The 15,573-nt window shown below is 44.1% G+C and overlaps 1 protein-coding gene across 3 annotated transcripts in view, besides 1 other annotated feature; it reads left to right on the plus strand.

Annotated features, from left to right (window-relative positions):
- Window positions 1–13,904, plus strand: part of PRKCB (protein kinase C beta) — a 384,629-nt gene extending 370,725 nt beyond the window's left edge. For 2 of the 3 annotated variants that reach the window (NM_002738.7, XM_047434365.1), the window contains one exon: window positions 7,951–13,904. In NM_002738.7, coding sequence (NP_002729.2) covers window positions 7,951–8,109 — 159 coding nt within the window. In that variant the 3' untranslated portion in view covers window positions 8,110–13,904. The remainder of the gene's footprint in view (window positions 1–7,950) is intronic. The other variant, NM_212535.3, reaches the window with a different exon arrangement.
- Window positions 1,878–2,437: an enhancer, noted in NCBI's record as "NANOG hESC enhancer chr16:24219906-24220465 (GRCh37/hg19 assembly coordinates)". NCBI's record gives its function as "activates a minimal SCP1, AML or CMV promoter by ChIP-STARR-seq in naive H9 embryonic stem cells {active_cell/tissue: H9 hESC(naive)}" and the evidence as "EXISTENCE:reporter gene assay evidence [ECO:0000049][PMID:30033119]".

Consider the following 15,573-nt stretch of genomic DNA (forward strand, 5'->3'; position numbering starts at 1 on the left):
AATGGCAGCACCTGTCCCATGGTCCCATGCAGTGGCCTGTGTGTGCATCTGTGTCCTCTGCTAGATCTTAAGCTCAACGGGGACAAGAACAGGTACCCTCTTATGTATCGCCAGAGTCCAGCATGCTGCTCGGCAGAGGATCTACAACAGCCAAATATTAGCCTTCCTTATTATCCCTTAGCACCAAAATACACGTCAAAGCAGCCACTTGTTTTAGAGTTTTTTTGCTTCATTTTGTTTTGAGACAGGGTCTCACTCTGTCACCCAGGCTGAAGTGCAGAGGCACGATCATAGCTTGCTGCAGTCTAAACCTCCTGGGCTCAAGTAATCCTCCAACTTCAGCCTTCCAAGTAGCTGGGACTACAGGCATGTGGCGTCATGCCCTGAGAAGTTTTAAATTTTTGTAGAGACAGGGTCTTGCTATGTTGCCCAGGCTGGTCTCACACTCCTAGCCTCAAGCGATCCTCCTGCTGCCTTAGAGTGTTTTACTAAGATGAAGCATGTTAAAGTAGCATCAGGCTAACCTTAACAATTTACCCAAATACTCCCATTCTCTTTATTTCTATTTTTCAATTTCTTCCATGATAATTGCTGTCTCATTTAAAATAGCTTTCACAGCTTCTTTTCTTATTACAAAATAATAATAACAATACCTGATTGTTATGTAAATTTTTAAAATATAATCAAGCATAAAGGGGAAAAGGAAAAAATTAAAACCATCTGTAATTCTTCGAATCTCCATAAGCCTGTGTATAAAATGTGTACAGATATTACGTATACATTTGTGTATATAATTTATAGAATGGGAAGATATTGTACACACTGTTAGTAATTATATAACTATGTCATTTAATATTCTTCTACATCTTCTTTTAATTTTTAAGAATGTTTTGCATGGTAATACATCAAATAGATGTATCATTATTTATTTAACTGTTTTCCCTATTGGCCCATAGTAGATTCCCAATTTTTCTTTCCTCTGACGATTCTTTGATGAACACCCTGTATTTTGATGGGGTAAATCCAGGAGTATAGAGGACAGGTCAGGGAAAACCTCGTGGAGGAAGTGACACTGCTCTGGAGACAGAAAGGATGCACAGGAGATAGCTGGATGAGTGGAGAAGGAGTGGAAGGCAAGTGTTCCTGGCAGAGGAGGCAGCCTGTGCAAGGGCCTGGAGTCACCTCCAAGAGTTCATGAGTGTTCTAGGAACTGGAAATACTTCAGTATGGCTGGAGGGTGTCTCAGGGGGTGGGGGACACAGGCAGGGAAGGGGCCATTGACCAAGTGTCCAGGAACAGGTCCTAAATGGCCCCTTAAGCCATGCTAAGGAGTGTGGGCTTTGGGCAATGGGGAGCTATTGCAGATAAGAGCAGGGAAATGGCATACTCCAGTCAGCGTCTTTAAAAGATCCCTTTAGCTGGCCATGGTGGTGTGCAGCTGTGGTCCCAAGCTACTCACAAGGCCAAGGCAAGAGGATCCCTTGAGCCTTGGAATTCAAGGTGGCAGTGAGCTATGATCACGCCACTGCACCCCAACCTGGGTAAGAGAGCAAGACCTTGTCTCAAAAAACAAAACAAAACAAAACAAAAAAGAGATCCCTGTGGCAGTGGTGACCAAGCCAACTCCACATTCAACAGCAAGACTCTGTTATTAATTCAATGAAACAGAAATTAAAAGAGAAGAGAAAAAGAAAAAGAGCTTACGTGTAACAGGTCACAGATAAGCTTTTCAAACTGTCTAGATTCTTAAATTCAGGAGCGTAATTCAACAAATCAACCTTCTTACTCCTCTCCTTAATCCTGAAAGAGGTGCTTGTGGTTTAAATAACCCAGTTGGTTTCTGGCCCCCATTCCTGTTCCAGGAGCCCCATTGATGTACCCTGATGACAAGGGAGTCGGATTTTCTTTTTTTTTTTAAGCTGAGTGAGGCTGAAGTGTTCACCCAAGACAAGCCAGAGAGGCAGGTGCAATCCATGGTGCGTTTTTAATTAGATCCCAGCCACTGAGCTGCCCATACTTCAAGGACACAGCAGGCAGGAAACTGATCTGGGCTGTGTCTCCCAAGGGCTGACGTCTCCATTTAGGGAGCGCTCCTGAAGCTAATGGTCAGTGACAGCTCCATTTGAAAAACACAGAAACACTTAACAGGGAGGCTGTGATCTGCCAGCCCTGTAAGCTGCTGATTAGCAGGGAAATCACGCTCCCTCTGTATCGCACCCCCTTGGTTAATCCCTGTTCTTGTGTCTCCTCTGTGCTATCTCACTTAAAGATTTCATTGTTCTCTGAGGCAGGAGGGAGTGGGGAGAGGGAGGGGGAGGTTGTGGAGCTGCCAGAAGCTGTTTCACTGTCTCCCATCACAGCCTCTGGGGAGGCCCAGGCGAAGAAACAGCCTTCTGGTGTGGATGGGAAATTGATGGTTTTTAAAGAAAAATGGTCCCTGAAGATGCTCTGTGTCTCAGCAAATGTGCTTCCTAGACTGGCTGGCTTGGGTTCCAACACCCAGGCCAAAGAAAAACACGCACGGGTCTGCCTTATAGTCACACCAGGATGCCATACCAGCAGTCCCTGCCACCATCACCTCTTTGTTGTCTGCTCTGCCTCCCCTTTCTACAGTCCTAAGCCACCATTCCTCTCCTGTGGATGACTGCGGCAGTCTCTCCCCGATGCCACGGCCACCAATCTAGCTCCCCAAACCTCTGCAATCCCCACACTGCAGCTGAGGGGACTCCTTGACGTGTCCTCTGGAATTTTGAACTTATCAAAAAGGAAAGCAAATACTAAATTTCCCCCCTCAAATAGGATCTCCTCCTCGTGTTCCTCTCTTACTAAATAGCTCAGGCCAAAAATGCCAGGGTCACCAACAATGCCTCTCTTCCTCACATACCCCACACCCAATCCATCAGCAAATCTTGTCAACTCTGAATTCAGAATATACCCCACATCCGAATGCATCTTTCCATCCCTCCACCAATCACCTTCCTTCAAGCCCCCATCATTCTTAACTGGATTATCATAACCACCTCCTCACTGGTTGTACTGTTTCCACTATTGTCCCCCGCTCATTTAATCTATCCTTGTACACCACACCAGTGATCCTGTTTAAATGTAAATCAGGGCCAGTCTTGGTGGCTGACACCTGGAATTCCAGAACTTTGGGAGGCTGAGGTGGGAGGATCACTTGAGGATAGGAGTTCGAGACCAGCCTGGGCAACATAGCAAGACCCCACACACACACCCTGTGTCTACAAAAAAAAAAAAATTAGTCCTGCGTGGTGGTGCACACCTGTAGTCCTAGCTACTCATGAGGCTAAAGTGGGAGGATTGCTTGAGCCCAGGAGTTTGAGGCTGCAGTGAGCTGTGATCATGCCTCTGACTCAAGCATGGGCAACAGAGCAAGACCATGTCTCTAAAACAATGAAATATTATAAAAACAAAACATACGTCATCATATCATTCAGGGCTCAACATTCTCCAGCAGTTTCTCATCTAGCTGAGATGAAAATCCACTGTCCTTACATGGCCATCAAGGACCCTGCTCTGGCTCGTGGCCCGCTGTGTGGCCCCTTGGTCACTCTGCTCTGGCCATACCATACTGACCTCATTGCTGCTTGGTGACTGTGCCAGGTGAGCTCTGTCTTGGGGCCTTTGCACTTGCTGCTCCCTCTGCCTAGCATGCCTTTCCTCCCGACATCCAAAGGGCACCCTCTCTCACTTCACTGAGGTCTTGCTCAAAGGCCATTTCCTCCAAGCTGAAAATGGCATCACTCTCACTCCATCCCCTGGACTTTCTTCTTCTTTTTTTTTTTTTTGAGACAGAGTCTCATTCTGTCGCCCAGGCTGGAGTGCAGTGGCTTGATCTCCGCTCACTGCAACCTCTGCCTCCTGGGCTCAAGTGATCCCCCCACCACAGTCCTCCTGAGTAGCTGGGACCACAGGTGTGCACCACCACACCCAGCTAATATTTGTATTTTTGGTAGAGACGGGGTTTCACCATGTTGCCCAGGCTGGTCATGAATTCCTGAGCTCAAGTGATCCACCATCCTCGGCCTCTCAAAGTGCTGGGATTATAGGCGTGAGCTACCCTGCCCGGCCTTGGCTTTATTTTTCTTCACATCACTTATCTCCCTCTGGCACTAAAACATATATTCACATTTACAGTTACAGTCTCGTTTGTTGCTTCTCTTCCCCAGTAAAATGTAAGTTCCATGAAGCATGGATTTTGTATCATTTTCTACTAGCACAGAGCCTGGCATGTAGTGGGTGCTCAGTAAATCCGTCTTGAATGAGAAAATGAATAAACAAATGAATGAATCTGGACAACAATTCTAACCACAGTGAGTTTACCGAGGGGTCATCCTTCTGTGGGAGCTTCCCTCCACTGGCCAGCAGAAAAGACCCCAGGTCTTCATACTATGTCAGAGAGTTCTCATTTTCTGAGACCTGAAGCCAAGATAACAAAAACAGCAGAAACAATTTAGCTTGGAATGACAAATAGGTTTCCTTAAGTCTGACAAGAGTCTTTTAAAAATTCAAGACTGTTTCCTTAGTATTTAAAACTTAAACACCATGCAAATGCCCTATTATAGGAAACATACGCTGTCTGTCTGTAGGGATTTGTAGTAGAAAATGGGAACTAAATAATACTTGGAGCCATGATGCGTTGATCACATACTCAGTACCTGTTACTTGCATTCTCTCATTTTATCCTCATATCACAACCCCAGTGTGATAGGAATTAAAATTGCTCCCATTTTACAAAAGAGGAAACTGAAACTTTAAGGAACTTGCCCAGAGTTGCACAGATAGTGGGTAGCATAATGCCAGGGTTTGAATTCAGTCTACAGACTCACTTTTTTTTTTTTTTTTTTGCGATGGAGTTTCCCTTTTGTTGCCCAGGCTGGAGTGCAATGGTGCCATCTCAGCTCACTGTAACCTCTGCCTCCTGGGTTTAAGTGATTCTCCTGCCTCAGCCTCCCGAGTAGCTGGGATTACAGGCACCTGACACCACGCCTGGCTAATTTTTTGTATTTTTAGTAGAGATGGGATTTCACCATGTTGGCCAGGCTGGTCTCGAACTCTTGATCTCAGGTGATCCACCCGCCTCGGCTTCCCAAAGTTCAGGGATTACAGGCATGAGCCACCGCGCCCGGCCCCAGACTCACTTTTACTCAGATAAGAAGTGAGCAGGAGGCAGAGGCTCTTGGAGACCTAAGTCCCTTGCATGCACAGCAAATACTTCTGCTTCCCTCAACAAAAAGGCTTTGAAGAAGAGCGTGCACCTCTTGACTTTCTCAATGTACCTTCACTCCTCCAGCAACTGAAGTTCAGTGGCAGCCCTCCATTTCTCATCAGTATCACCCCAGTTGCCAATTGCAATGATCCTTTTTCGGCAACTCTCCTATTTGACCTCTGAAAGATATTTTAGTTATACCAATGCCCTTCACCTGGGGTTTCTCCCAGTCCTTAGCTTGGCTGATACTGTTCTCTCCTGGTTCTCCTCCTGCTGTCCTAAGACACTTTAAGGAGCATTTTTATCATGGGCAAATGGAAATAAAACACCTATTTCACAGAGTTTTTACATGAATGAAAAAGGTCATATATTCAAAAACACTTGGCAAATGTCTGTTTCATTGAAAGTGCTCACTGGTTTTTATTACTCTTGTTATCTCTTTCCACTCCCCATATTCTGTGCTTTAAAAAAAAAAAAAAAAAAAAGGTTTTTCAAGACCTCTCTCCTCCTGTGCTTTTTTTTCCTTTTTTTTTTTTTTTTTTTTTTTTTTCCTTTTTGGAGTCAAGGTCTCAATCACTGCCCAGGCTGGAGTGCAGTGGTACAATCCCTGCTCACTGCAACCTCTACCTCGCTGGCTCAAGCAATTCTCTCACCTCAGTTTCCTGAGTAGCTGGGACTACAGGCATGCACCACCATGCCCAGCTAATTTTTTAAAGACAGGGTTTTGCCATGTTGGTCAGGCTGGTCTCAAACTCATGACCTCAGGTGATCTGCCCACCTCGGCCTCCCAAAGTGCTGGGATTACAGGTGTGAACCACCACGCCTGGCCCAGAACCTGTGCTTCTGACTCCCTCTGGTCATCACCAGGACTCTCATTGGCCTCTCAAAGTCGTTATCCAAAATGGAATTAATCATCTTTCTCAGTTTTCACACTTTCTCTGTCTCAGTTCATACAACCACAGTCTCTGTCATTCAAACCAGAGACTTCATCATCCCCATCCTTGTCTTCCCGCTGGCCCCTTCCCCACTTCATTAGTTAGTCAGCCACCAGGCTGCCACCGTACTTGTATATTTATTTATTTATTTATTTATTTATTTATTTATTTATTTATTTTGAGAGAGAGTCTCGCTCTGTCACCCAGGCTGGAGTGCAGTGGCGCGATCTCAGCCGACTGCAACCTCCGCCTCCCGGGTTCAAGCTATTCTCCTGCTTCAGCCTCCTGAGTAGCTGGGACTACAGGTGCCCATCACCACGCCTGGCTAATTTTTATATTTTTAGTAGAGACGGGGTTTCATCATGTTGGCTAGGATGGTCTCGATCTCCTGACTTTGTGATCCACCCGCCTCCTCCTCCCAAAGTGCTGGGATTACAGGCGTGAGCCACTGCGCCCAGTCACTGTACTTGTAAAAATGGAGCCAGGAACTTGGGCTCTGATGTCAGATGGACCTGGTTCATCTTGCTCTGCTATTGGTTTGCTGAGATTATGAACAAATTACATAGTCTCCGTGGTCTCAGTTCCGTCATCTATAAAATGGAGATCATAATAATGCCCACTTCATAGGGCCATTGGGAAGATTAAATAAGGTAATGCAAGTAAAGAACTTTCCAGTAAACAGCATTTTGCACTGGTATATAGCAAATGCATAATAAATATCAGCAGTCATAATTGTTATTACTCCTACTACTATTATACTATTAGGTTGTGGTTACCTCGTAGAGATACTGTGTTGAAAACACATAGAGCTTTTGTGCAAATGGGTTTTGCTGGCAAAGAACAAGGAACCCCAAATTAGCGGTTTGCCCCTTCTCATTAGGTGGGAATTAGCATGTACAGGTGTGAGCACCCATGCATGCATGCACACATTTGCAGACATGTACATACACATATGTGTTATAACTCTGCCTCAGATGGGGGCCTTTTTAATATAGAAACACCAGCAGGATGGGTGAGAAATGGCAATGGTTTTCTCTCTAGAACCTGATTGCTTCACCAAACAATGGTTTGTATTTCCTCCCACATCCCTCCTTCCTAATTGAAGAGGGAATGGCTGAATTTACCTCCTGGCACCTTGCATTTGATGTTCAGTGACTGATCCAGCTAACCAGGGGCCTCGTGGTTGCCCAGGCGTTGCAAGCATCAAACCCAGATCTTCACTGGGATCTTCCTCCAGTGGCTGGAGTTTATAAATTGTATTCTGTTGAGTTGGAAAACATCCACTGCTCCTGATTGAGAGCTGGAGGACAGCACTTTGAGGGGTCTGCTGCTATAAATACTGGGATCTCCCAGGTGATGTATAAATGGGTCACTACTTTGCATCTTGCACCACCTGAAACATCTCAGGTGCCTTAATCCCATGTTTTCCAACAGATGAGCTTGGCTGACTTCTCGGGGTGGGTTGGGGGGACATGCCACATGCCTCTGGCCCCACCATCTCATGCCTTTGCCATCCATCTCCTGACTGGCCAGAAGGACACCAGGAGCAGCTCATGAGCTACAAAAACTGAAGGTCGGGAACCCAAGGTCGTGCACCAAAGGTCATGAGAATTTTGCATTTTATGTTGCTCTCATTTCTGATCATTTGAAACAACCTCTCTGAGTTTCTGAAAGGGAAGGGAATGGAGAAAAGCACACCCAATTATGCTAGGTTCTGTTTTATTTTGGCTTTTGTTTTTGTTTTTTTTCCCACCCACCACAAGTTCTTTTCTTCCCCTCTCATAGTGTGGGCGAAATGCTGAAAACTTCGACCGATTTTTCACCCGCCATCCACCAGTCCTAACACCTCCCGACCAGGAAGTCATCAGGAATATTGACCAATCAGAATTCGAAGGATTTTCCTTTGTTAACTCTGAATTTTTAAAACCCGAAGTCAAGAGCTAAGTAGATGTGTAGATCTCCGTCCTTCATTTCTGTCATTCAAGCTCAACGGCTATTGTGGTGACATTTTTATGTTTTTCATTGCCAAGTTGCATCCATGTTTGATTTTCTGATGAGACTAGAGTGACAGTGTTTCAGAACCCAAATGTCCTCAGGTAGTTTGGAGCATCTCTATGAGATGGGATTATGCAGATGGCCTATGGAAAATGCAGCTGCATAATTAACACATTATCAAAGTCCTCTTACAATTTATTTTCCGCAGCATGTCAGCTAAGTAGACCCAATGGGGAGAGAAAATGCCTGCTTTCTTTCCCTCTTTTTCTGCACTGCCATATTCACCCCCAACCATCCAATCTGTGGATAATTGGATGTTAGCGGTACTCTTCCACTTCCGGGCCTGGAGCTTGGCTTGTATCCAAGTGTATGGTTGCTTTGCCTAAGAGGAATCCCTCTATTTCACCTGTTCTGGAGGCACCAGACCTTGAAAAGAACATGCTCAAAATAAAATGTTATCTGTTATTTTTGTAAACTCAAAGTTAAGATGATCAAAGTTCTAAAATTCCAAGAATGTGCTTTTAGACGGTCTCAATCTAAAAGCACTTCAAGGGGTCAAAGGGCAACCAGCTTGGGTGCTACCTCAGTGTTGTAGTTTCTGATACTTTATGTCTTTGCTCACCCTCATCCCCAAACTACTTGAAAAGGGCATTTGGCACCACTCTCTGAAACAACACAGTCACTCTAGCAAGGCCCCCAAAGGGCCCTGGTTTTACATTACATTTCAAACTTTATTTGCTTTGGGGTTTTGTTTCTGTTGTTGTTCAAATGCAAAAAAAAGAAAAAAAAAGAAAAAAAAAGGTGACTCACATTGTTACACATGCTTTAAAATATGTATTCAAATGTTATTAACCACAATGACGACCTGCTTTGATTTAACCAAGAAGACGGCTGCGGAGCCTAGCAGACTCAGGCCTGTGGGAATGGGATTTGTTACAAATCTAGGTTTGTTACTGGCTTCAGAAAGCTAATTAAGTGCTCTGAAAAAGACACCGTTTCTTGAAACAAAGATGGTTGTATTCCTCACTTTGATGTTGTTTTGCAAGATGTTTGTGGAAATGTTCATTTGTATCTGGATCTCTGTTATGTGCCATTTTTCTTCTAGCATCGAGATACAATAAAAAAAAAAAAAAAGAAAAGAAGAAGAAATACTATTTCAAGGAAAACTGCTCTTTTTGAGAAACGTGGACCTAAACTACAAAGTGGGAACTGAGGAGGGAACTCAGGAGAAAGGAACTAACTGCGGAGCTTTAATCTTGGCCCCAGTGTTCAGCCACTCGGAGGGGCGGGGGCTGTGGCCCATTCAGGGGCTGCTGGTGGGCTGTAGTGGGGTGGGATGACCTGGCCAGAGCCAACGAGGATACTGGAGCCCAAAGTCAAGTTTAGAGACCAGCTGGGAACGTGAATGGGGCTCTTGATTTTCTTATCAAAATCACCACTCCTCCCAGCTTGGACTAAATATTCTTTCTAGCAAGCAGCTTTGTGAGCTCCCTGAAGCCCAAGGAAACCCTTCGGTGGGAGAAATTTCATTTCTGTCTGAGAGGATTAAGGCAGCAGGTGACTCCCCCTCCTCGCCTGCCGTGTCCTGCTATTCTCAGGCAGCTCTAAGGAGAATTCTTATCACAGTTCAAGTGATTTCCAGAAGTTCCAGGGCTTCTGAGAGACCATCAAGGGAACTTTAACAACTTGACAAATGTCCTTGAAGTAAGATGCCTCATCTTTAGGGAAAAATGGGGTTTGGATTTCTGCTTAGGCAAAGTCTCCTGCAGTTCATCCTTCTCTGTCCTCTTCTTGCTTCAGGCTTGGGGACCGTCCCTGCTGTCCCCACTGTGGTGGCAATCAGGACCTAAGGTGAAGCAAACTTGAAGTTCTATCTGACAAGTTTAGGCAGTAAGAGAAGGAGGGAAATCGGAGCAAAGCTCCCTCACTTTATTGTTGAGAAACTGGCATCTGGAAAGAGGAAGGAATTTGCCCAAAGTCAGTCAGCTGGGATAAAAACCTGGGTGTCCTGTCCAGAAAGTGCAGGGTGCTTTCTGCTCTGTAGCAAGGCAGCAGACATCTCTGAGCCAGGCCCACCAACAGGCCCTTATCTGGTGGTTGGATCATGATCCCATTTTGCTTGGACATGCTCTCAGGAAGATAAAAACCATGGAGAAACACTAGGCCATTGACAAATGATCTGAGACAACTTTAGAAAACAATGTAGGATGAATGGAAAGAGAAAGAAAGGAAAGAAAGAAGAAAAAGAAAGAAGGAAAGAAAGAAAGAGAAAGGAAGGAAGGAAAGAAGGAAGGAAAAGAAGGAAGGAAGGAAGGAATATAGTGTTATAAATACTGCACTCAACATTTTCCAAATTCTTGCCATTATTTTTCAAAAGTTTAATAGTTTGCAGAAATAGATACTCAAGCCAAAGTCTGTTTTAGAGAAACTTTCCATGGAAAGTCAGAATTTCTACCACTTCCTTTTCTATCCACATTTCCAGTGCAGAAGAAACTGAGAAACAGAGCTTTTTGAAGAGAGGACAGGGCCATAGCAACAAGGACCTTCTTGGGGGATTAATGGGAGGTCAGTAGAATTAATAACCCTCCTTGGATGAGTGCTACTGTTTTCACATGGCTTCAGATGCTATCAACCTCAAAGAAATGATCTCAACAGAGAAGCTTATTCTCTCCCAACTTCTACGGTAAAATCCAGGAGTATTTTCTCTGGGGATCTGCCCACAGGACAAAGTCCATAAAAGCAAGTCCTGTCTGGACCATGTGGTTATCTGAAGCATTAGCCATCACCAGCACAACAAACGGGGCAGGGCTTTCCAAGGTGGGGCTGGTCAGAAGGGAATCTTTGATAAGAGGCCCACAGGCAGGGAAAGCGAAATAGGGTTGATGAGACCAGGGGAGACCTAAAAAAAAGGCAGCTTTGTGTCTTCTAGCTCCAAATATACCTGCCTTTTAGCTCACACACTGTCCTGGAGTTCTCAGACCTTTAGGGGCCCTAACACAGTTCAGTTCATACAGGGGTTCAAAAGGGACAGTGGCCCATTTGGGAGACCTTTAGGATCAATGGGAATCAATTCCATTGTTTTGCCTCAGAGTAAAGTTTCTGGCTCGGGGACAATTATAAGTTGCAAAAAGGATAGAGGCATATCCCAAGTCTTCCTTCATTCCACAAATAATTACAAACAACCTACTGTGTGCCAGGCACTATTCTTAGCACTGGAAATACACTAGTGAAGAAGCAGATGAGGACCCTGTTTATTGTTTCTCTCCAAGAAATTCTCCAAGAATATTGTTTCTTGGAGAGAAATAATAAATAAACAAGACAATTTCTGAAAGCAATAAGTGCAATCAAGATAATTAAAGGATGCTAAAGTGTGACTTGTGGGGATTGGGAGAGAGATGCACAGACAATATTAAAGAGGAGGCATTCGAGCTTTGTTGTGAACACCGGAAGTAACATGCCGAGCGCCTGGGGGATGGAAACTCCTATAGCACCCCACAGGCTAACAGCAAGCAGGACAAGACAAAAAGGGCAGGTGGGACATGGTAGAGATGGACCCTACCCAGGAAACAGCTCCATCAGCATCTTAGCCTGCCCCACTCTAGCCACACATACCCACGTGTGCTCCTGAGTTCAGTGTGCCCACCTCACTCCCACACCCTCACATAGACTTGGCAAGAGTAAGGAGGGAACTCCATAGAGACATTTTACCTATCTCAGGGGAGCAGCCACAAAGAAGCAAGTCTTGTAAAAGGTCTTTTGCAAAGGAGAGTGAACCCAGCAATGAGAGATCCTTAACAGCTAGTGCCCATTAGGGGGCTAAACCTAAAGCCTGGGTGGTGATGGCTCAAACGCTAATGAGTCAGTGAATCCTTACCGACCCCCTGGCCTTTATAATCTGAGGCAACTTTGGCTGCAGCCCGGGAATGTGCAGGGCACTAGGGAATACAAGGCCTTCTTCCCTGGTTGTCTTGTAATAAAACAGCCATGGGGTTGTCCCTCCAGTCCGAGAGACTGTGATGAGGCCTACATAGCAGCGATGTGGTCAGGTAAAAATCAGGAACCCACTGAAATCTTGGGCAAGCCACCCTGCCTGCTTGTGCCTCGGTTCTCTCATATGTCATATATAGGAGGTGAGGACTCCAGCTCCACCTGCCCCAGGTGGGTGTGGTGATGATGAGGAAAGACAAGAGGCTTGCAAGGACCCTGAAGAGGTCGGAGCATCATACAGATTCCTTTATTAGCCCACATTCTGATGTTCCCTGGTGAGACTTGCCCCAAGCAATTGCTAGTAAATGGGGGTTAATTTCTTCTCCACCTCCCTACTGAACAAAAAAAGAAATGCCAGACTTACTAGGAGAATCGAGTTGCTTTGAGTTTCTTTTGTTTTGTTTTGTTTTGTTTTGTTTTAAGGCTCCCCTTACACACCCTCCTTTAAGCTTTGGGTTTTCTCTCTTATAGTTTGTTGACACATGCTAAAAATGTCTTTGGAGAGAACTTCTGCCTGATAAACACCCAATTCTAGACTGTGGGTGGATTTTCGAGCTGACGGTGGTCAATTCCTTTCATTAAGCAGTGATCTGATTTCTCCACATGGCCATTCTGCCTTCTTGGGGGCAGAGTAGATGGGCAGCAGTTCACCTTTTCAGAGAAAGAGGTCTTCTAGCCACCTGGGCTGCTACTGAATGGTTTTCTCCAGGACGCTCTACCTAATGATTATTTCTATAACATTAAGCATGGTAATAAGTAGCTTCCAATTCAATTCATCCTAAAGCCAAAGAAAATACAGCAACACACACACACACACACACACACACACACACACACACACACACACACCACTTTATGGCAATTCTTAACTGACATTCAATGACTTACTTCTTTTCTTAGAAAATTTCCACCACATTTCTATCCCCAAGCCAACATACAATGTGAAATGAAAGCCAGTGCGTGGAGTGCAGCTGCTAAAAATTTTCAGCACAGGGCTCTTTCTGACTCTGCTCATGAGATGGTATCAGCCACCCAATGACTGGCGTATCTTGGTCCTGTGTCTTTCTTCTTACGCTGTGTTAATGTGTTTACTTTCCATTTGGCAGAGAGACAAGAGAGACACCTCCAACTTCGACAAAGAGTTCACCAGACAGCCTGTGGAACTGACCCCCACTGATAAACTCTTCATCATGAACTTGGACCAAAATGAATTTGCTGGCTTCTCTTATACTAACCCAGAGTTTGTCATTAATGTGTAGGTGAATGCAAACTCCATCGTTGAGCCTGGGGTGTAAGACTTCAAGCCAAGCGTATGTATCAATTCTAGTCTTCCAGGATTCACGGTGCACATGCTGGCATTCAACATGTGGAAAGCTTGTCTTAGAGGGCTTTTCTTTGTATGTGTAGCTTGCTAGTTTGTTTTCTACATTTGAAAATGTTTAGTTTAGAATAAGCGCATTATCCAATTATAGAGGTACAATTTTCCAAACTTCCAGAAACTCATCAAATGAACAGACAATGTCAAAACTACTGTGTCTGATACCAAAATGCTTCAGTATTTGTAATTTTTCAAGTCAGAAGCTGATGTTCCTGGTAAAAGTTTTTACAGTTATTCTATAATATCTTCTTTGAATGCTAAGCATGAGCGATATTTTTAAAAATTGTGAGTAAGCTTTGCAGTTACTGTGAACTATTGTCTCTTGGAGGAAGTTTTTTGTTTAAGAATTGATATGATTAAACTGAATTAATATATGCAAGCTCTTGTTTATATGTCTTTTCTTAAATAGACTATGTTACAGAGGTTACAGACTGAAGATCCAGTTTGTAGCCATTAGATAAGCTTAATTTTACTCACATGGAATTTTACTTAATCAAAACCATTGTGAACATGACAAAATAAGATACTTTATATAAATTCCTGGACTTTTAGATTCCCTTGAAAAAAGAAACAAAAGACTAGCAGCTCTGAGCCTGTATTTCCACATGGAAATAATTCTACAGAACTGAGAAATGCTTCTCCTTTAAAAGCAGTGTATGTTCTCATTTTGCCACAGTCTCCACCACCCCCTATTGTCTTATACCCTCCATCCACTTCCCTGGCTGCTATAGCCACTTGAGGTTGAAACCTCTGTCATTCGTGAGTCACAGGTTTGAGGACCTTAATATTTTCTTGTGCCCCTAATCAGGGTATGTGTGCAGCCACCCACTCAATGTGATTCGTGTTTATTAAGCTATGTATCAAGCACAAGATATGTAAGATTTTATTCCAGCCATGACAAAAGTCAGGAAAGAGGCTGGTGTCAGTGCAGAGAGAATCCTTTGTTTGTTGTCCATGAGGATGTTGCTATTTGTAAAACGACTTACCTTTGACTTATATTCTCCTAATTTAGCTAAGCACCTGCCAAAAAAAGAGGGGGGGGAGTATAAGCCATTTTTTTTTTCAACCGCTTGTCCAGGGAGGCCCAAGAGAAGAGGGAGAAATAAGGGAGACTGCTTCTAAACCCTGCTGGCATGATAAGGACCCGCACTCTCTCAGAGCAGAGTGGCACAGTACTGAGTCACTGGGTGTCAATCTAATACCTTCTTCTCTGAATGAAGTCATGCTTCTATTTTCTTTTCAAAAGATATAGTAATCCAATCTGTAGCACATGCCTTTGTAGCTGCTAAGGCTAGTGGGTAGCAGAAAAGAGCAAATGTGTTCACACTATGTACATTATGACTCTCTACAGAGTGTATTCATCTCTTCCCTTCTTGAAAGAGCCTCAGTAAATGGAGCATTGGAAAGATACAGTGAATCCATTGATCTTACCTAGTGCACTAATCTTTGCAGAATTTTAGAAAGTCTGCCAGTTAAAGTTGGCTGAAGCCCATTTAAACTTCAGGAAGAAACAGTGTTCTAGGCATCACATTTAGAAAACAAAAATACCTGGGATTCTACAGATGTTTGAACATGCATCCCATTTAAGACAGTATTATATAGAAGAGGTTACCATTGCTGCCTCTTATTCCTCCTCATTCCATGCCAGCTTCTCAAACTTTCCCCCTCTGCCAGATATAAACCCATCTTTCATTTAATAAATATTGAGCCCCGACTCTGAGCCAAGCACAGTTCTGGATACTGGTGTTATAGAGACCAATAAGATAGTTCAGGACTCCCCACTTGTAGGGACAACATGGCTGCAGAAATCCTGGCCTCTAATCCTTCTAGGATCATGTCCAGTGAGAAAGAGTGTGAGCTCCTATAAAAGTATTGTAGTTTATTACAGTTGACTCAGCCTGGTCACATGTACATTCTTGAGCCAAGCACTGTGGGTGGAGAGGGGAGACAGGTGAGGTGCTTTAATTGGCCAAACCTGAGTTGTATTAGCTAGTTATTACTGTGTAACAAGTTACCCCAAAACTTTAAAGCAATAAACATTTATGACC

Source organism: Homo sapiens, chromosome 16 (genome assembly GCF_000001405.40).
Source record: "Homo sapiens chromosome 16, GRCh38.p14 Primary Assembly".
In the NCBI taxonomy this organism is placed as follows: Eukaryota; Metazoa; Chordata; class Mammalia; order Primates; family Hominidae; genus Homo; species Homo sapiens.